At 37.9% G+C, this 21,589-nt stretch overlaps 1 protein-coding gene and 1 pseudogene across 6 annotated transcripts in view; one reads left to right on the top strand and one right to left on the bottom strand.

The window, feature by feature from the left end:
- CNTNAP3C (contactin associated protein family member 3C) overlaps positions 1–21,589 on the bottom strand; it is a 131,026-nt gene that overhangs the window by 23,555 nt on the left and 85,882 nt on the right. For all 6 annotated transcript variants that reach the window (XM_011545672.4, XM_017015380.2, XM_011545674.3 and 3 more), the window contains exon 4: positions 12,063–12,210. In XM_011545672.4, coding sequence (XP_011543974.1) covers positions 12,063–12,210 — 148 coding nt within the window. The remainder of the gene's footprint in view (positions 1–12,062; positions 12,211–21,589) is intronic.
- RN7SL462P (RNA, 7SL, cytoplasmic 462, pseudogene) lies at positions 10,035–10,295 on the top strand (annotated as a pseudogene).

Raw genomic sequence — 21,589 nt, 5'->3', positions numbered from 1 at the left:
GCTTATATTCCCAGCTACTTGGAAGGGGGAGGTGGGAGGATCGCTTGAGCTTGGGAGATGGAGGCTGCAGTGAGCAGTGCTTGTGTCACTGCACCCCAGCCTGGGCAACACAGCAAGACCCCATTTCAAGAAAAAAACAGTTCTACCTAGCCATAATCAATGCAAATATTCCCCTACAATATATATTTGAATAATACACTAAAATAAAATAATTCCAGTAACACATTTAATATAATCTTTTCTCAGAAACCTGTTGGAAAAAATCCTTTGTATGAAATTCAATTATATAAATAGGAAATGTAGTGGGATACTGGAAAATTAATGTCACTTATTATGTTTACGATAAAATCCAACGTTCCTCAAAGTTTTCAGAATGAAAGCCTTGCTATCCAAAATGAATAAAGAAAACTTAGCTTGTGGTTTAAAGCAGGAAGTGCTTTTCTAATTTTATATGAATTTAGTTTATAATTATTAGCTTTATTAATTAAGATTATAGTTTTGATTGCTGAATCTCAATCAGTATTAGCAATGTGGACCCCTGACACGTTAGTCTGTCACCATTAGATCAGGAGCTACATTTTCTAGTACACTAGAGTATATACTGCGTGGGCTTGAATCCTGGCTCCATCCTGGATAAGTTACATAGCCTCTCTCTGCCTCAGTCTACTCATAAGTGAAGTGAGAATACATACACTCCTCTCTCACAAGGTCGTTGCGAGGGTTAAATGAGTTAGTATTTGTACTTTTACAACAGTGCTGGGCACATGGGGTACCTTCAGTGAACGACGGCTTCATTATTATTGTCAGGGCACTGGGCAGAAAAAGAGGTGGAAATGAGTTTAAAATAGCACATAGGGGATATATAGGAAAGTAGACAGCTTAAAATGATAGCGGATTTAATTTTTGAAGGACCTAGGAAATCTTCAGTTTCCACCAGGAAAAAGAGATTTACAACCATTCATCCACACTTACACAGCTCCTTCTCTGCCAGCCAGCTTGTTCCTGGGCTGACTCACTTCAATCACTGGTAACCTAAATCTTACTCAGAAGTATTAATATATCTATCTCATTTTCTTGTGTTAGAGGACCACTAGAGTTTTTAAATGATACTTGAAGATTATTGGTGCAATTATAATGTTTTTGTCACACTTCCTCAAAGAATATCGGAAAAGCTAAGGACAGATGTGTTCACAAAGTTCCCAAATACGAATTCTTGTAGATAAAGAACTTTGTCATACAAGGAAGAACTGTGTCAGAAGTAATTTTGCTAAAATGTGTTATGTCCTCATTCATACAGCTAATATTCACTGAAAGCCTTCCATATGCTAGGTGAAAGATAAAAATGCAGAAGACAATGAATTACTTTTAAGGATCCCACAGTATGGAAAAAAGGTCATATAATCCTGAAATACGATTGTTTCTGCCACATTCACAGTGATGCTTCTGTAAACAGGCATCTGGTCCAGAATGACTTCTAAGAAAGGATAAGGAAGGAGTCTACCTGCTTTAGACTCCTGCAAAGTATGACGTCTCTGAAAAGCTAAGACATAAGTAATTTTGAGTTGCTATTTCCTTTATTTCCTTAAGCCATATTTTACCTTCACATTTTACTTTTATTAGAAACAGAGACTCACTCCGTTGCCCATGCTGTAGTGCAGTGGTATCTTCACAGCTCACTGCAGCCTTGAACTCCTGGGCTAGAGTGATCCTCCAGCCTCAGCCTCCCAAGTAGCTGGGATTATAGGCATGCACTACAATGCCTGGCTAATTTTTTACTTTTTTTCTAGAGATGGGGGGTCTCACTATGATGCCAAGGCTGGTCTTGAATTCCTGGGCTCAAGCAATCTGCCCGCCTCAGCTTCACAAAGTGCTGAGATTACAGGCATAAGCCACCCCGCCTGGCCTACTTTCACATTTTTCACACCCAGAATGTACTCTTAACTCTGGCTTCTCATTACTACTTTTCTGCTTCTCACTGTCATTCTAAGCACAGGCATGTCTCATCCCCATCCTACCTTGTACTGCCTTTTCAGAGGAAACATCAACATTGCTTGAAAACAGCAAGATTCCATAGGGTGCAAACACTGATGTCTTACAGAAGAAAAAAAAAAACACGATTCCACAGAAATTTTCTTAAAGTGTTCTATCAACCACCTTCACTCAGATTGACTAGGAGTGATCACTTGGAGACTTTAGAACGTGAGCCTCAACCAGACCAGGAATCAGGATTTCTGTGGTTGAGACCCAGGGGTTTGCATATTTAATAAGCTAACTAGGTAGCTGTGATGACACGAAGGCTTCAGGATGATTTATCAGGGATAATGGGCAGATTACAGAGGTTTACTCTCTAAATAAATTGAATGTTAATTCCAATATGGGGTGAGGCACAGTGGCTCACACTGTAATCCTAGCACTTTAGGAGGCAAAGGCAGGTGGATCATTTGAGGTCAGGAGTTCAAGACCAGCCTGGGCAACATGGTAAAATTTCTACTAAAAATACCAAAAAATCAGCTGGGTGTAGTGGTGCATGCCTGTGATCTCAGCTACTCAGGAGGCTGAGGTGGGAGAATAGCTTGAACCCAGGAGGCAGAGGTTGCAGTGAGCCAGGATTGCTCCACTGCACTCCAGCCTGGGCAACAGAGAGAGACTCTCTCTCAAAAAAACAACAACAAAACCCACAATTCCAATATGGAAACATGAATATCATTTTCATAGAGTTATAATTTATATTCAATAAATTTAAGGTTATAGTTCAATGAGTTTTAATAAATATATATACCTACCTTATTGCCAAAAAATCAAGGTGTAGGCAATTTCATATCAACTCACTAATTGCCATTTGCATCAAACCCCCAACACTGTCACCCAGACCCAGACCCAGGAAACCAATGATCTACATTCCATAACTACAGATTAGTTTTGTCAGTTCCAAAATTTCATAAAATTGTATCGTGTATGTGTTCTTTTGTGTCTGCGTTCCTTCTTAAGTGTAACGTTTTTGAGATACACGCATGCTGTTGCATATATCAACAGTCTGTTCTTTCTTATTGCTTGGGGTATTCAACTGTTTGACAACTTGTTTATCCATTTACCTGCTGATAGACATTTGAACTGTTTCCAGGTTTAAACTATTATAAATAAAGCTGCTAGGCACATTCACACATACATCTTTATGTTGACATATGCATTCATTTCTGCTGGGTAAATACATGGGAGTGGAATTGCTGAGCTATATATTAAGTGTATATTTAGCTTAGAAGAATGCCAAATTGTTTTCCAAAGTGATAGTATCATTTTCACATTTCCCACCAGCAATGTATGAGAATTCCATATCTTTGCCAAACACTTGGTGTTTCCACCCTTTTTAATTTTAGCCTTTCTGCTAGGTGTATAGTGGTTTCTCATTGTGATTTTATTTCTCTAAAGACTAGTGATGATTCATTTTAATATAATAATAAGTTAGAATAGATGTATTGGGATTCTGTAGATCAATTCGGGGAGGATGATAAGAATATTGAATCCTGCAATCGATGAATACACAAAGCTTTCCTAGGAAATATTTGCCTTTATTCACTCACATATTTTCTTTCCTTCTGGGCATAATAAGAGGAACTTAGGGAAAACAGGCCTTGGTTCTGCATTCTCAGTAAAGGCCTTGATCTCTCTCTTTAATTTTCATGCATGATCTTTCCTCTCTATTTCTTTTCTTTCCTCTCTCTTTTCTCCTTCTCCCATTTCCTGGTAAAGATAGTTGATTGCACAGAGTCTGGAATCCTCTGTGAGTAGGTTCACATTCCAATTCTTCAACTTACTTATTTCTGATGGACAGGGATTTACTTTTTCATCTTATTTTGAGTTTCTATTTATTTTACTTTTTTATGACAAATTTTTTTTTTTTTTGAGACAGGGTCTCACTCTGCCACGCAGGCTGGAGTGCAGTGGCATGATCTTGGCTCACTGCAGCCTTGACCTCACTGGGATCAAGCAATCCTCACACCTCAGCCCACTGAGTAGCTGGGACCACAGGCACACACCACCATGTCCAGATAATTTTTGTATTTTTTGTAGAGATGGAGTTTTGCTGTGTTGCCCAGGCTGGGCAATCAAGTAATCTGCCTGCCTTGGCCTCCTAAAGTCCTGGGATTACAGGCATGAGCCACTGTGACCAGCTTTATTTATTTTTAAAAAAATTTGTTGAAATTTAATTAGCACTTCAGTGTTTTACAGAAAAATAATTTTCCAAAATATTAAGTAGATTGTATTATAAACACATTATTATATGAAAAAATTATATACACTTTGTTTTCTTCAACACATTTCCCATGGCATTAAAAGAAATGCAGTTAGTTATATTTTCAGTTATGACAAGCAAACATTCAGAAGACTACACTTCCTACCAAGGACAAGTAGAAAATGTGTACCAAGTAAAGTTTAAATAATCTTCTTGAAAGTTTTAAAGATCTACTACGACTGCCAGGACTCAAGAATGTAAAGATCTTAGAAGACAAGCTCAGAACACTCTTTCTGCTTCTACCCTTGAAGCACTGGTCAACTCCCAAGGAGCAATGGGCAAGAGACAAGGTGGCCAAGCAGAAAGTGACAGGACAGCTATGAGGCTGGGTCACGAAGCAGGGGTCTCTGTAGACTCATCATAATTAGGAGTCAGATGGCAGAATTCAGAGATTTTCAAAAAAATGTTTTGGCAAAGGCCTTCAAATCTCAGTTGGGACTAGTGAAGCATTGTACTCCAGATATAAGATATCAACTAGGCCTCATGGGGACTGAGACGCTGCACTGAGTCAGTTAAATGCTTATTTGAATTAACATCTGTGCCTAATCTAGAAGCCTAACAGAGGCTGTGGTGGGGATTCGCTGGGGGATCACTTTGTCTTCTCTAGCCTCTACAAATTTCTGTCCAACATGTCCAGAATTCAGCCAAAATTATCAGACATCAAAACGGAAACAAAAACCAGACAATGGAAAAGATCAAGAGATAATCCAGATATTGAAGTTAACGAAAAATCTTTAAAATAACTGTAATTAATATTTCCAGGAAAATAGGCAGCAAGATAAGGAGTTTCACTAGGATACATGAACAGAAATTCCCAAACTGAAAATCACAGTAACTAAAATTAATAGCTCACTGGCATATTCAACAACAGATTGGTCACAGCAGAAGATCTGATTAGTAGTATAGAAGATAAAGCAGTACACAATGTCTAGACTGCAGCATAAATAGAAAGAAAAGATGAAAGAGGAGAGGGAGAGAGAGAAGCAGGAGGAGGGAGAAAGAGAGAGACAAAGAAAGAAAATAAGATACAAACATCTCAGACAGATGTAATTGGAGTCTCAGAAAGGAGGAAAGGAAATGCGAGACAGAAGCAATATTTTGAAGAAGTAACAGTGAAGAATTACCCAATCTAATAATCACTGCATAGAAAAAAGAAATTTAGTGAAATCCAAAGAGGACAAATTCAATGAAAACTAAAATAGCCACATCAAGGCAAAACTGCTGAAAATCAAAGACAAATAATAAATTCTCAAAAGTAACCAGAAGAAAAATACACATTTCCCTTATAGGATAAAAATCAATTACCTATTGATTTCTTAATAAACATCATGAAAACAATAGAATGCCATCTTTAAAAGGCCGAAAGAAAATAACTACAGACCGTATTCTCCAGCAAGCTGAAACAGCCTTCAGAAGTTCATATAAAATAAAGACAATTTTCAGGCAAACAAAAGCTATATGACAATTTATTACCAGTAGAACTGGGCTAAGACAAATATTAAAAGGAGTCTTTCTAGCTGAAAGAATTTGATTCAGAAAGAGCATGAAAATGCAGAGAAAGTAAATATGTGAGTAAATTCAAGTGAATACTGATTGCAAAAAAAATTATATTAAATTTTGTGATTAAAATATATGTACACATATACACATGTATGTATGAAACTAAAATGTGTCAACATAGCACACATGGTGGGAGGAGTTTAACTAAACTAACATAAGTTGTACTTAAATCCTAGTATTGTTTGGAAAGTGATAAAAGTAGTAGCTCAAGTACCTAGGAGAACAAAATTAGAACAGCAAACAATAGTGGAAAAACTGGAAAAATTAAACTTGATTAACCCAAAAGAAGAGGAGAGAAAAAGGAGTATAAAACAAGTGAACCAAATATAAAACAGAGAGTAACATGTCAGCTACAATTTCACATATGTCAGTAATTACATTTAATATAAGTGGACTAAATATACCAACTAAAACTCAATGATTTCCAGATTTGGTTTAAATAATAAAGAAAGAGTCCTTACATATGAAGACAAAAAGTTTGAAAGTAAAGAATGGAAAAAGTTATTCCATGAAAACACTAACCAGAAGAAATCTGGCATAGCTATACAGTACTATCATCAGAGAATGCAGACTTACAGGCAGGAGGCATTATTAGAAATAAACAAGGATATTTCATAATTACAAAAAATCAACTTTAAGGAAGATAAAACAATTCCCAATCTATATGCATTTAATGAAACAGCTTCAAAATATGTAAAGCATGTATCTCTTTTCATTTTACTGGAATTCATATTTCAGGCATGCTTATTAATGGTAGACACAAAGGAGGACAGTAGGTACACTGTAGAGTTGACTCTGCCTACCATTAGCCAAAGGAAGTCACTGGCTGGCTCAAAAATCAGGGGGCAGGGAAGCATACACCACTCACAGGCACTGGCAAGGAACAGGTGCAGAATTGGTGCCAGTGATGCAAACTAGCACAGCGTGTATATATAAAAGTGATAAAACAATTAAAGGAACTTTACAGAGGTAGGTAGTTCTAACTTCATTAGAACACCAATGAAGAAATACAAACTTGGACCATCTCAGGAGTTATGAAAATTTCCCATGTCTCAAATTCTAATCAAGGACAGGTAAAATTTTGGAAGGGAGAAAATAAAATTTGCTTTTGTCCAGTCACTATTTGTTCTATTTGTTTTGTTTTACCGGAAACCTCCACTTGCCGTCTGTTGTTCCTACGGAAAACAGTACAGCACTCAGTTAATCCAGATGAAGCTGCTAATATTCAACTGTATTTGATCTACAAAACTGGCAAATATATGGTTCAACCAATTATAAGTGAAGCTAGAATGATGAATAAGAAAAGGACTGATTGGTAATAGCATAGCTATGTAAGACAGAGTCTGAATGACATATAAAACTATTTGAAGACTAAGTTATAAGAAAATGTAACAGAAAATGCATGAATAAAGAATTACCTGTGAGTAATAAAAAATGATTTTCACTTGGGACATTATAAAAGAAATCTTCGTGAAAAGAACATTTTAGAATTCTGTTAATTATCTGGGCTGTGCTCCAAGTATTAAAATTTTAAAGAAGAATCCACCACTCCCAGACCCCCTCCCCCACCAAATTTTCCACCATTAAGGGACCAAAAAAGTGGCGAACCAAGCTCTTCTTGGTTATTTATGAAGTCAACCTTGAATACTAACCATTTTCTTTTTCCTTCATGAATTATTGCCCATGACTTACAAAGGAATAGAAGCCCAATCTCAGTTTAACAGAAACATGAATCAGACAAAAGCCATGTTTGAGTGTTATCTAATGAAAATACTAAAACACTAGCATGGAGTGGAATGTAAGCCCTTAAAATCTGCACTAGCGGACTGGGAATTAAAGAGATGGAAAGGATACTAACCACTTGAGAAAACAACAAGAAGAGGACTGTTCTATTTTTTGCATTAATATCAAAGAAAGTGGAGTGATTTAAAGAACTCTGAAATTGAGGATAATTAAAGCTGGCATGATAAAAAGGAGGAAGGCACAGAATCAAAAACTAAATGTTTATATACAATACAATGCAGCTTGATGCTGTCTCTCTGAAAGTAGAAAAGAAGCTGCCGCCATCAATCAATATAGCAATATATCAAAACAAGTATCAATATAATGATCCTTTATGAAACCTCGGCAGTTATTATCCATCAAGAACATGGAATTGGTAGTCAGAGGACTGGAGTCCTCTCCCTGTCTCTGGTGACTATTTGTAGCTCCTGCACTGCCGGCCCTTGGTGTGGCTTCTCAGATTGCGTACTTGGAACATCTGGGTGTTAATAACTGCCTTTCTACTACATAAAGATGCATCAAGTATCAGATGGAAGAATGGAAACATAACTGTAAAATCTTATATTTGCTATTTTTACTAGAGTTATTACAATTTTTAATACTATACTTTATAACAATATAATCTCCAAGATACCTGCCTTACCTGGATGGCTAGTATAAGAGAGAAATAATCTGAAATTTAGATTCATTATTCAGATTTTATTATCATCTGTCAGACTTTTTTTCTGAATTGCTTCATTCATTCATTCACTCAATGCAAAGCTATGGTGCACTTAGTATGTTCCTGGCTCTGTATTAGGTGCTGATGTTACAGCAATGAATGTACCTTACCCTAGTGTAGCCTGAAGTCTAATGAGGAAAAAGGAAACTAGGCCTCTAATAAGACAGATACAGATACACTATAAAAAGTGACTATAGCACATGAAGTCATACTATAGGCTTCCTGGGAACTTATAATGAGGAAACAAATGTAGAGTGAGGGCCTAGGAAGCATCATTTAAACTGAGATCGAAAAGAGGAAGAGTAAATAGCCAGTTGAGAACATGGGGAAGGAGCATTTCAAGCAGGGGAGACCGCAGGCGTAAAGGCTTTGAGTCAGTAAAAAGCCGGACACAATTGACAGTGGACAGGTAGCAGGTGACGGCAGCAAGAGGTGGCACTGGAGAGTTATTCAGGGACAAGCTCCTTCAGGCCTTGCTGGGAGTCTGGATGTTATTTTAGGAACAATGGAAAGCCACTGATGGTATTAAACAGGGACGTAATTGTATCAGTTCTGCATTTTTAAAAGGTAACTTGAGTTGCAGTGTGGAGAATATAATGTAGTCAGCTATGAACAGAGACAGAATGACCTAAACTTGGAAGGCAATTTCCATAATTTGTGGGACACCAAGTTTAGATTAAGTCGGTAGTAGAGCTAAAGAGAGCTGAAATCATGCAAGGTGTAATTTGGAGGGAAGAATACAGAATTTCGTGACTCACTGGACATGGAGGGCAAGAGAGATAGATGCGTCAAGGACCCATAGGGTTCTGGCCTAAGATTCTGGGAGTTCCCCTTTGTTCTTGAGAGATGCCCTCGAAGGCCTGGACAGGCAGTAGAGCATAGGGAATTTATTTTTCTGTCTAAGGCCTCTGGGAAACAATCCTAGTGTCTTGGGCGTAGCTTTAAGCATGTCTCAACAATCGAGTTTGAACAATCGAATGTGCATGTTTTTCCAGGAATCATCCTGATTATTGTGTGGACTAAAAACTGGAAAGATCAAGACCAGAGACAAATAGCTGATTTAGGAGGCTGGTGCTCATTTAGGCTAAACTGGAGGGAGAGAAAGAAATTCAAAACATTTAGGAGATAGAATCAGGTTTCAGTCAATAGGTGGCTGTTGGTATCGTTTTATAAGATGGAAAACAAAGGAAAATGAGCAGATAGACAACTGAGTTTTAAGTGCTCACAGGGCCAGTGAAGAGAGGTTGGTACCAGAGGTTGGAACTCCTCAGAGTAGGTTGCGGATACGTATTTGGAAGTTATCAGCCACAGTGTGTAAATGCTACTGAAAACTCATGGAAGTGGATAAAAGGCTCAGAGAGAGCTTGGGAGCAGGATAAAAGACCTAGAACCAATCTGTGGATAATGCTAGCCTTTAAGGAGTGGCAAGAAGAGTAGCATGCAAAGGTGCATGGAAAACCAGGAGAATACAGCTGTCAAGAAGGGCCCGAGGCCATCTGTGCTCATGGCTTTATTCTGCAGTTGAGCAGCAACTCTGGGAGAACCTACAACCTATCCCCAGGCTAGAAGTGGAAATAGAAATAAATAGAGTAAGCCAGGAGTCTGTGAAAACACACACAGTTTAAAGGAATAATGAATCTATTACTGTAAATGAAGTGTAGAAAAGCTAATAACACTAGGGCTGGGCAGTCCCAGCTACTCAGGAGGCTGAGGTAGAGGATCGATGGAGCCCAGGGGTGCACTATGATGATCAGGTGTCTGAACAAATTTTAGCATCAAATGGTGATCTCTCCGAGCGGAGGACCATCAGGTTGCTTAAGGAAGAGTGAACTAGCCCTGCTCCCAAATGAAGCAGGTCAAGACTCCCGTGCTGATCAGCAGTGGGATTGTGCCTGTAGCCACTGCACTCCAGCCTGGGCAACATAATGAGAACTTGCCTCTTAAAATAAAAAAAGATAAATTGATAAATACATAAATAAATAAATGGGAAGAGATGCTGCGTGGCAGGGATATTATAAGTCATTATAAGCAACGTTCTAGAAAACAAGCAGGGCAGTGGAAATACAAAGGAAAATACTGAAACTACCATTATTAACATAAGTCATAAAGGATTGTATTACTGTCAACAACAAAAATAAAATCACCATACTTGAACAATTATTCTTCTAAGGAAAAAAAGACAATGTAGATGTCCACTTGTTCTAAAGAATTACTTTTAGCTAGTTAGCAGTGGTCACATATTATCTGTCTGCATGTTTGGGTTTTTTTACTAGTAGTCCCTTACAGCCAACAGCATGTGTTTACAGAAGTTAACGGTGCCAGCAGATTGCATGGCAGCTGCACCGCTCACCGGCCCTTCCTGGAATCAGGCACGGGGCTTTGATCTTCCTGGTACCAACCTCCAGCCCAAGGAACTGGAGTAATATCTCTTCATGAAGGAACATCAAGCTAATGGCAAATCGCCATCAAAGAGCATGTTCCACTTTGAAGTCAGTAAACCTGAAGTTGTTTCAGAGTAATGAGAGGAGAAGGTAACTTCACAGCATCAAAGAGAGATTCCAAATATCAGACATCTTAGCCATTGAAACAGAGAGCACAGTTATAGGTCCCAGAAAACACAGGGATGGAAGGAGATGAACAATAACAGGAAGAAAAAAGACTGTTGGTAAAGCAACATCATTATATTTAGCCCTGTAGAAATGTAAACACTAAAAAACAAGCAGAGTTAGGAAATGAACTGGGTTGTACAGGAGTTAAGTAATAAAATGGAAATAATAGTATCTGAGATATTAAATGCTGTATGAATGACAGACGTTGTTATCATGCTTTAGAAAATTAATATTCTGCAGGGCTAAAGCTGTGAGTAGGCAGAGAATGGGAGTGACTGTGTGTAAATAGTGTGATATGAACATCCGGCCGGACCCAAATTGAAGCTGCTTAAGACATTTCCATCCAGGCTGCTCTTTGACCTGTTCTCCAGTTTTATACAGGAGTATTTTTCAATTTTATTCCATTTTGACAATAATTTAAAACATTTTTATGATAATGTAAAGAAAGAATACAAGTATGTTCTAGATCATCAAGTGGCAACTGTGTCACTGAGTACCACCAAATAATTTCACGGCCGGCTTTTTGTTTGTGTTATATTCATGTCGGCCCCATCCTTTCCACTTTTATAACAAAGAATAGGTGAGAAAAGAGGCTGACTAAACACAGGTTCCCACCAAGTGAAGATCAAGTGAAGCGACAGCACAGTGTGCAAAAGAGGACGTTAGCAGAGAAAAACACAGAGAACCAAGAGATTGCGAGAAATCACACCCTGCCCCCAGTACCGCTCCTGTTTTCCCAGACAGCGTATCATCTCAGCTTCAAAAAAACAGCATCATCTGTTGTTAGTTTGAATTGTATTCGTTTCATCAGATGCCTACCATATTGCAAGTACTTTGCTAAACTCTGGGAATCTAAAGACAGGTAAGTTTCAGTTCAGGTCCACCACTAAATTCAACTATAAAAGACAGTAACTAAAGTCCATATTGTCATGGGGAGACACTAGAGTGTTTCCATAAAAACCAGTTCTGCTTGCCCAGCTATATAAAAAGACAGAAAAAGTCAAGTTCAACATTTCATGCCGACATTGGCTTTTACAGTTTGGCTTTGACAGAATCTCATGCTGACCTTGATTTCACACAGGGAATAAAGGCCACTTACTATATGCACATCCGTACACTTCGATCCGCATCCCAATCCTGCCCCTAGGGTTCCAGGCTAAAGGGAGAAAGCGCAGGAACCTGGCTTCAAAGGGAGGCTGGAGTCTGTAGTGCACCACACTGTCTGCGTTTGTGTTTCCTGGAAAACCCTAGGAGAAAACAGAGAAAGGGATCAATGTATCTGCAGGACACACCATCTTCATGTCGTCACCTCTCATGGCAATGAGCAATGTATGCTCGCTTTGCTAATATGCAAAAAGCTGCTGTTTTAAAGGAAACACTGCTAATGGTTAACAAGGATGTGACAACCTCTCCAGTCCCTGAATTCGTCACCATTGTCTAAGTTTTCTTTATTTACAAGGTAGTTTAAATTTCATCCACATCATTAAAATGACTATAAACATGGCAACCTCTATGAAGTTCACTTTTCTAAAATGCTATCCCACAGATTCCTCCCTAATCAAGTGGTAAAGATGCTCACAAAAAGCCACATCACATGGCAGGGCAATCAAGCACCACGGTAACAGGCAAAGGATCTGCAGTGAGAATCCTGGAATCTGCAATTAGAGAGTTGGAAGGGACCTAGACATGATTCCAGCCCCACACCCTTAATTTATAAATGAAAAACTACAGTCTAGGAAGAAGAAAGGACACTCTGGAGGTAGGACAGCTATCATAGAGTGTGGGCAGGATTACATCTGGCTTTGATTTCAATGGCATCATTGATTCCATGTTATCAGGCTGAATCCACTTCACAGTGAACACAGCTCCATGCACCTGTGGCCTGTTTCCTGGGGGTGTCAAGAGGAGCACACTGCCACTATCTGCTCCAAGGCAAAGGGGCTTTCACTCTTCACTCCATCTTGCTATCTGAACATTGGGAAGGATCAGAGTGCAAAGCAAACAAAGTTGTTTTAGATATTTTTTTCATTGTTCTCAGATTTTTAAGAATATGGCATGTGTGAGAACAAGGAAAGGGTTAATGCTATTTTGCACTAGAAGTGCTATCACCTAACATGACTGGGGCACATAGTTAATATCTATGTATGGAACAGGCCAGCAGTTAGTTCAACCAAGAATGAAGAATGTTTCCTGCCTAATTATTTTGCTTTACTAAAGAATGTACCAGGCTTAGGGCCAGCGCGTTGGCTCACGCCTGTAATCCCAGCACTTTGGGAGGCCAAGTTGGACAGATCACGAGGTCAGGAGATCGAGATCATCCTGGCTAACACGGTGAAACCCCGTCTCTACTAAAAATACAAAAAAATTAGCCGGGCATGGTGGTGGGCCCCTGTAGTCCCAGCTACTCAGGAGGCTGAGGCAGGAGAATGGTGTAAACCCGGGAGGTGGAGCTTGCAGTGAGCCAAGATCGTGCCACTGCACTCCAGCCTGGGCGACAGAGGTAGACTCCATCACAAAAAAAAAAAAAAAAAAAAGAATGTACCAGGCTTAACAACAAAACAAAGAGAATAAAGATCAGCCTGCCTCATACCCAACCACCAATGGGTGTCCCTGGGTATAAACACATGGAAATAAAAATATAGGAAATGCCTTAGTGAATGTGGTCAATTTTAAATGCTAGTGTTGATGCTCAGACTTGGTAACAGTTCGTCTATTGTTAATTCGTGCCAATTCCAAGATAATCATTTCACCTTTTTTTTTTTTTTTTTTTTTTTTTTTTTTTTTTTTTCTGAGACAGGGTCTCACTTTGTCTTCCAGGCCGGAATGCAGTGGTGCGATCTAGACTCACTACAACCTCTGCCTCCCAGATTTAAGCAATTCTCCTGCCTCAGCCTGCCCAGTAGCTGGCATTCCAGAAGCATGCCACCACACCTGGCTAATTTTTGTATTTTTAGTAGAGACGGGGTTTTGCCATGTTGGCCAGGCTGGTTTCGAACTCCCAGCCTCAAGTAATTTGCCCACCTGGGCCTCCCAAAATGCTAGGATTACAGTCATTAAGCCACCATGCCCAGCCAGAGATAATCATTTCACTCTTGTTCCAACTAAAGGGTCATGTACATCGACATTTTTTGAGTTAACAATCGCTATACCAACTTCAGGTAAATATTTGCACAACCTCTGCACTCACAACCTTCTGTCTGGACAGCCCAGGCTGACCTATATAAAAGAAGCCATATCCCAGCTCCACCACCTCAAACCCTGCTACTCTCTGCTGCAAGCTGCAGTTTCTCCATCTGTGAAACTGATCTTGAAGGGCCAGAGTACTAATTGAGATAACACCTGGAAATCAATCAGCCCACCACCTGCGTGGAGGTGGCTGCTGTGATTGTGACCCAGGTTGGTCATTGTTGGCATGGTTGGTAGAGATGGTTGATCCATCCTTTTATTTTGGTTCTAATTTGGGTTTAATATCTAAGACATACAGCCAAGCTAATACAAGAACATCAGATCCTATGAGCATTTTGACTCCAATGTTAAAATTCAGTTGCAGAATTAAAATCATATTTTTCTGTAGCTGAATAAACTTTGTAAACCTCAGCAAAAACAATACAATAAAAACCTTTCAAAGGAACCCTACCAAAACAGAATTTTTTCACCTTTATCTGCCAAATGTTACTTCTTTCTCAATTTGTTTCAAAGTGTAAACTCTGGAAAATATACTTCTGAGTGATGTGATAATAGGATCATGTAGCAAAATAAAACTTAATGTCAATTTTTGCTTAATTAAATAGATTAACATTTAAGAAACTTTAAATAGACATTACCTAATAGTTTGTGAATAAGGCAGATGAGAAACATACTCTTTGCAACTTCAGAGATATCAATAAAAAATCAAACATTTATTACATATGACTAAAATATATTTAAAAGTTTATATATATAATCACATTAATTCATTTGAAATTTCAGAAATCACATTATTGTCTTATATAGAATTATAACCAGCTTCATGGGATACCAACCAAATGAACCACTGTTCTTTAAAGATATAGAAATTAAAGAGAATACATTTTGGGCAGGAAAGATTTATACTAGCATTTCACTGTCATAACATTCAGGGCTTATTATTGAAATAACCTTATCTATAACAGTAAAATAATGTGTGTCTTAAAAATATGCAGTGTAGTTTCTTATTTATTATATTCAAAGTTTGCTTCGAGAGCTTGCAGAGCAGACATGAGTTCATACGTGAGCACATGACCACTACGGACAGAAAGAATGGCGAACACAAAGACCTATTCCTGCTTTGTTTTATTAAGGTGGAAAAACGAACCTTCTAGAAGGATAAGCCAGCTTTTATAGAAATATGCAGCCTTCAACAATTCTGCAGAGGCTTACGTCTTCATTTTAGACATAAATAGCAAAAGTTACAGCTCTGTGGAGAGTGAGGGTATACAGAATAGTTTTCGGAAGCCATAGTCCTTCAAATTCTTTTCTGTCTTAGCAGGCATGTGACCTTGGGAGAAATCATCATCTTTCTTTGTAAAGTAGAAAAATTGTATCTATCTGGCAATCTTGGTAAGAATTAAACTAGTTAATATATATAATGTATTTGTAAGATTATAAATCATTTATTTTTTACAGCATTCCTCTGCAATTTGTGTGTGTGGTGTGTTCATGTATAAAAGCTCCATCTTATTGAAAGACAGTCACTTAAGTTTGATGTGGATTCTCTGTCTTTGAGGGCATTCTAGCTAAGTATTATATTAAGTAATCAAAAATGAGTATTTTCAGATAAAATGATCAGTTTCCATAACATGTTCCTTAGGTATACATGAAAGTGAGTGAAATCTGCGGCTTGGAGTCCACTCACATGCTGGAAATATGTTTCATAAATAATTTAGGAATTAATGACATTACTGAAAAATTTCCAACACTCTACTTTGATTTTTAGCGGTCACATTAGTTAAATCTAACAGTCACAGTCAGTGATGGTGCTCATGTGATATCCTGGTCTGCAAAATGTTAAGCGCATGGATAGTTGTGGTTGAGTATGAAATACCCAGATTGACAGCCATAAGCAGAAAAAAATCTGTCAAGGTAAGACTCATCAACAACTATTTTTAAGAAGACTGTTAGAAATTTGTTATTTTTCCAAATTTGTCATTTTGTCATTTCTGTTTTAGTGGGTTTTTATCATCAAATCTTTATTTTAAATTACGAGATACTGAAATGAGTCTCTGAATTTTAAAATAAACATTAAATCTCTACTATGCATAGGGCCACCACTGTCCTATGCAATTTCACACATCAATTCAGTTAGTCCTCACAAAGATGTTAGAAAAGCCTGTCTAAAAGAAACAGATTCTTCAGCAGCTTCAGTTTATTATTAGTTTCCCAAACACTTAAATGTACTACGAGAGATTCTTATTTTAATATGCTGTTATTATTTTAAGCTGTCTGTGTGTGGGGTAAGAAAGTGCCCGTGAGTCCCTGAGTTCTAATTCTGTTTCCTTAATTGCCAGACTATGCTGATATTGGATACAAATTTTAGTGCTTGTAATCTCAGCTTCTTTATGAGTAACATGGGAATAATACTAACTGCTCTGCCCAATTATAGCTTGTTGGAAGATGTTTCTGTAGGTGACTTCAAAATTCTAAGGAACTATACAAATGAAAGATATTGCTAAGCTGCTCCCTGTAATGCCTGTTAACAAGATTATTTGATTAAGACACTTTGTTAATTATAAGTGTTATATGAAGAAATTGTATTAATTCTAAGTATATAGCATTAATAATATAATTACCATGACATATACCTTGATGATTTTATGAAGCAATTAAAATGTTTCTATAGATTATTAAAAATTAGCATATTATCTTTATCACCTTAGTATGACTAGTACAATTATATTTATGCAGAGTTAATCAGTAAAAAGCAAAATGAAAGATATAAAACAATATTATATGTAAGTGTAAATATGTGTGAACAAAAGAATTATGATTTTTAAAAGAATATGTACAAATAAAATGTATTGGACTGGGGAAATATGAATCATGTACAAAAAAATATGATTAATGAATGAATGAACACCAAGGCAAGAGTAGGGTCTTATGCAGACCAGACCGATCATTCCTTCATGATTACTCACTAAGGAAGGTGACTCATGGAAACCTTGGCATCTGATGTCTAAACATAGTAAATAAACAAAAAAGGGCTCCAGCATGTGGACCCAGTGCCTGCTGAAGAGCTGTTAACCCTCTGCTGCTGCCCCCTCAACCTCCTCTGTTCTCAGGATGCTCATGGGTGAAGAAGGGACTCCTGGCAAGTGGGACCTGGGGCTGCCACAGAGCCCTCCCAAGGACATAGACAGGACTGTGAGGCCACGGCTCCAGCAGGATGCTGGCTCCTGCAACTGTCAAAGACTTCAGCTCAGTTTTGGAGTTTCCTGTAAGTGATATATCATATGATGAACACAGGCTGCGAAGCTGGAGAGACCTGGGTCTGAGGCCAAGTCCCAACATATACTGGTTCTGTGACTGTGGGCAAGACACTCAACCACGCAGAGCCTTCTCCTCTGAACACTGGGGAGAATGATGATCCGGACTCACAAGACTCTCACGTATCTCTAAAGCTCTTAACATAGGACTAGCATACGGTAAATAATCAATTAGTAGGAAACACTGCTTATTATTATCTGTTAATACTAAGTGATATTTCCTCTTACTCATTCTCACAATGCTACTCTTTGAAAGCAAGGATGAATCTATGGACCTTTTCCTTTGATTCTCAGCCGGAATCAACTTAATCACTTAGGTCTGCATCCCCTCACTAGCAGATGACATTAGGCAAGGATGATACTGCTTTTGTCCCTGTTATTTTCAGAAGATTACAGATAATGGTGTAACATGCAAAACTGTTTCTTATTTAAATTAGTATCGATAACTGCCTATGTGAACAGTTGTACTTAATTATTTTAAAGTGCTCATGAATGCATTATTTTTTACTAACCATTAGAATACAATGTTTATCAACACAAAATGAGAAAAGTGTGACTTTGCCTTATTCTAGCATTATTAAATGAACTGAAGTAGGAATTAAGAAATGTGGGTGATGGTTCCAGCTTTTTCATTAATTAGCTGTGAGAGCCATGGTATGTCACCTGAGGCTTCAGTTTAGCTGGAAAGCATGCTACAAAGTACTATGGGGCCAGGCACGGTGGCTCATGCCTGTAATCTCAGCACTTTGGGAGGCTGAGGCAGGTGGATCACCTGAGGTCAGGAATTTGAGACCAGCCTGACCAATATGGTGAAACCCCATCTCTATTTCAAAAAAAAAAAAAACCAAAAATTAGCCTAGCATGGTGGTGTGCCCCTGTAGTCCTGGCTACTCAGGAGGCTGAGGCAGGAGAATCACTTGAACCTGGGAGGTGGAGGTTGCAGTGAGCCGAGATTGCACCACTGCACTCCAGCCTTGGTGACAGAGTGAGACTCTATCTCAAAAAAAAAAAAAAAAGTAGTATGGAATCTAAAGTTTTCTCTAGCACTAAAAGAGCATGGCCTGAAATAGTTAGTTTATATTCGGGTCAAGAAAGAAAGAAATGTTAGAAAATAAATGAATAATCAATGACAGCAAGAGTACCTTATTGGAAAAAATGTATGTATATATGCACTTATGCATATCTTTAATTAATTAAATATACATAATCATTGAAAAATGAAACACTGCAAATACATTTGTATGTTTGATACTTGAGCATCCTATCATTTTTTTAAATAAAAATGAATTAATTTACCATATTTGAATAAGTCAAAAAGAGAAAAACAAAGTGTAGTGCATGTTTAAAAAAGACAAATAAATGTTTGTGTTTGCTCACTACTGATAACTTTGAGGAAATGATCATTCAGAAACATAAAGCAATCCAAAATACGAATCAAGATTAACGTAAATGTAATTTTTAAAATAATTCAGATAATGAAGAGAGCAGAACTAGCCACTTAGCTCTCTGTATATAGTGCATATAACTAAATATATCACAACTTAACAGGCGTTCTTTCTGAGATATTGCTATTGACTTTAAATGATCACGTTAGTTAAATGTTAAAATACCTTTTTAGAAAGCAGGCAATTCATCTAACTTGTCATTTGACTTGGATCTGGGACAAATTTCCTGTGTGAGATTGATCAGCATGTCTTCTTGCTCTCAGATTTCCTTATTATAATTATAAATCTTTGTGCCTTATAAAAGTTCAGGGTATTATGCTGGTGCCATCTCTGGTTTCTCAGAGACTTTCAACAACCAGCCTCGTTCTGGGACATGATAGGCATTGCTGCAAAATCAGGAATTCTTCAAGGAGAATAAATGTCTGCTGTGTTGAATTTTATGCTAGGTTCCCCAAGATCTGCACCTTTAACCCTCCCAGTATTTACCAGTGTTTAACACACAGTTGGTCCCAGGCAAATGCTGGTGCACTGACTTGATTGTTAGAAATAATCTTCCTAATGCTATATTCTATCCAGTCTCTCTAAACCCAGCTCCTTGTTCTGCTGTGAGGAGCAGCACCTGTCTTCCTTTGCCTGGGTGACTCAGAGATGCCCACTCCATCTTCATCTCTGGACTCACCACAAGTAATTACTTAGTACTTCCCACCAACTGCAGAGCAATTTACTTAATTGGAATGTTTTCACACTTTTTCATCCCTGATAATCAACCTGCACAGATGAAAAAATTAGCTAGGGAATCACTATTATTAAATCAGTGATCTAAGTGCTTTTGTTATTCTAACTGAAAATTGTAATCATTTGTTTGTTTGACATATTTACTATCTGACCATCAGACAGATTCACTTATTTTGTCCATTTTAACTATGACCAAATATATATTTTTTCACATAAGAATCTGTGAGCATTAAACTGGGTGATCCATATTACCTTATCCCTGAATATTAGATATTGGATATGCACATACAAATGGTTATGATTGTTATGATTAGTGTGCTATCATGGAAAATAGTTCATAGTCTTGATAGTCTGAGAATTGCTATGATAATAGTTTCAAAAACATTTAGGATACTTGTTCCCTATTTTTAATTTTAGTTTTTAGCAACAAAAATCATTTGAAAAGCAAACAAAATTATTTCACCATATTTTTACACTTGTAATCATGTATAATACGTTCTAAGAAAAAGCCATCTCTACCTATAAAATACTGCATAAGATGCAATTGTATATTCCTGTGTGTCTCTCACACAGATCCATCAATGAACAATATTGCCAGCATTGGGAATAAGAATACTGAATGAATCAGGCCTAGGTTGAGTATTTTCTGTGACTATGAGGCAGTCACATCCTCCTATTTGGTTAGGATCTACAGAGTAACTAGACTCAAAAGGTGCCACCTGCCTAGAATAATATTAGTATGAGATAATAAGAGTTGCTCATAGCTTATCCGGCAGTGTGCTAGAAATTTTCTGTCTATGAATTTGTAAAACAGCAGCAACAACATGAGGCACATGGAAGTTCAATGTCCTATGGTCAAAGCTGAGCTCTGGAAACCGCCTTCGCACAAATTCTAACAGTGAAATTGAAACCGCCTTTGCACAAATTCTAACAGTGACAAAATTATGGCAATGGGGAGACCTGATCTAGTTAACCCCATTCTTGCCCTTGACCTTCAAGTTGCCCTTAATCATTCCTGAGCTTGGGCAAGCCAACCGTGAGAGACATCTAGTTTATAGTTTAAATGATAATAGCCCTTCCCCAAAACTAAAGCTAATGAGAGACCACCAGGCTAGGAGAATAGAGGAGCCTAAATTCTGCTAAGATACAGACATAAATGATTGCTAGCCATTTGTTCAGAGGTCACGAGATATGCAACTTCCTCATGAATTCCAGCAGATAACATCAGTATTGTAGAATCTAAGATTAGCCTTTTGAGATATCCAGGTTTTTTGCATGTTTGACTACCCATGGCTCCACTGGACCTGCCAACAGCTCCCGTAGCTCCACCCATAAGTAACTCAGCATGCAGAAGAATCATTTCCCACACCCCTATGATTACACCCCCAACCAATCAGCGGCAAGCACCCATTTCCTAGCCACTCCCAGCCCTTCCCCTAAACTACCTTTGAAAAATCCCTAATCTATGAGCCTTCGATGAGACTGACTTGAACAATAACTTCATCTCTAATGTGGTGTGGCCGACCTTGAGTTAATTTAAACTCTTTACAGCAAATACCATGTTTTTTGTTTTGTTTTGTTTGCAGATGACATGATTGTATAATTAGAAAACCCCATTGTCTCAGCCCAAAATGTCCTTAAGCTGATAAACAACTTCAGCAAAGTCTCAGGATACAAAATCAATGTACAAAAATCACAAGCATTCTTATACACCAATAACAGACAAACAGAGAGCCAAATCATGAGTGAACTCCCATTCACAATTGCTTCAAAGAGTATAAAATACCTAGGAATCCAACTTACAAGGGATGTGAAGGACCTCTTCAAGGAGAACTACAAACCACTGCTCAACCAAATAAAAGAGGACACAAACAAATGGAAGAACATTCCATGCTCATGGATAAGAAGAATCAATATCGTGAAAATGGCCATACTGCCCAAGGTAA

This window comes from Homo sapiens, chromosome 9, assembly GCF_000001405.40.
Source record: "Homo sapiens chromosome 9, GRCh38.p14 Primary Assembly".
Classification (NCBI taxonomy): domain Eukaryota; kingdom Metazoa; phylum Chordata; class Mammalia; order Primates; family Hominidae; genus Homo; species Homo sapiens.
Note: the sequence above shows the minus strand (reverse complement) of the source record. Positions and strands in the feature narration are given on the sequence as shown.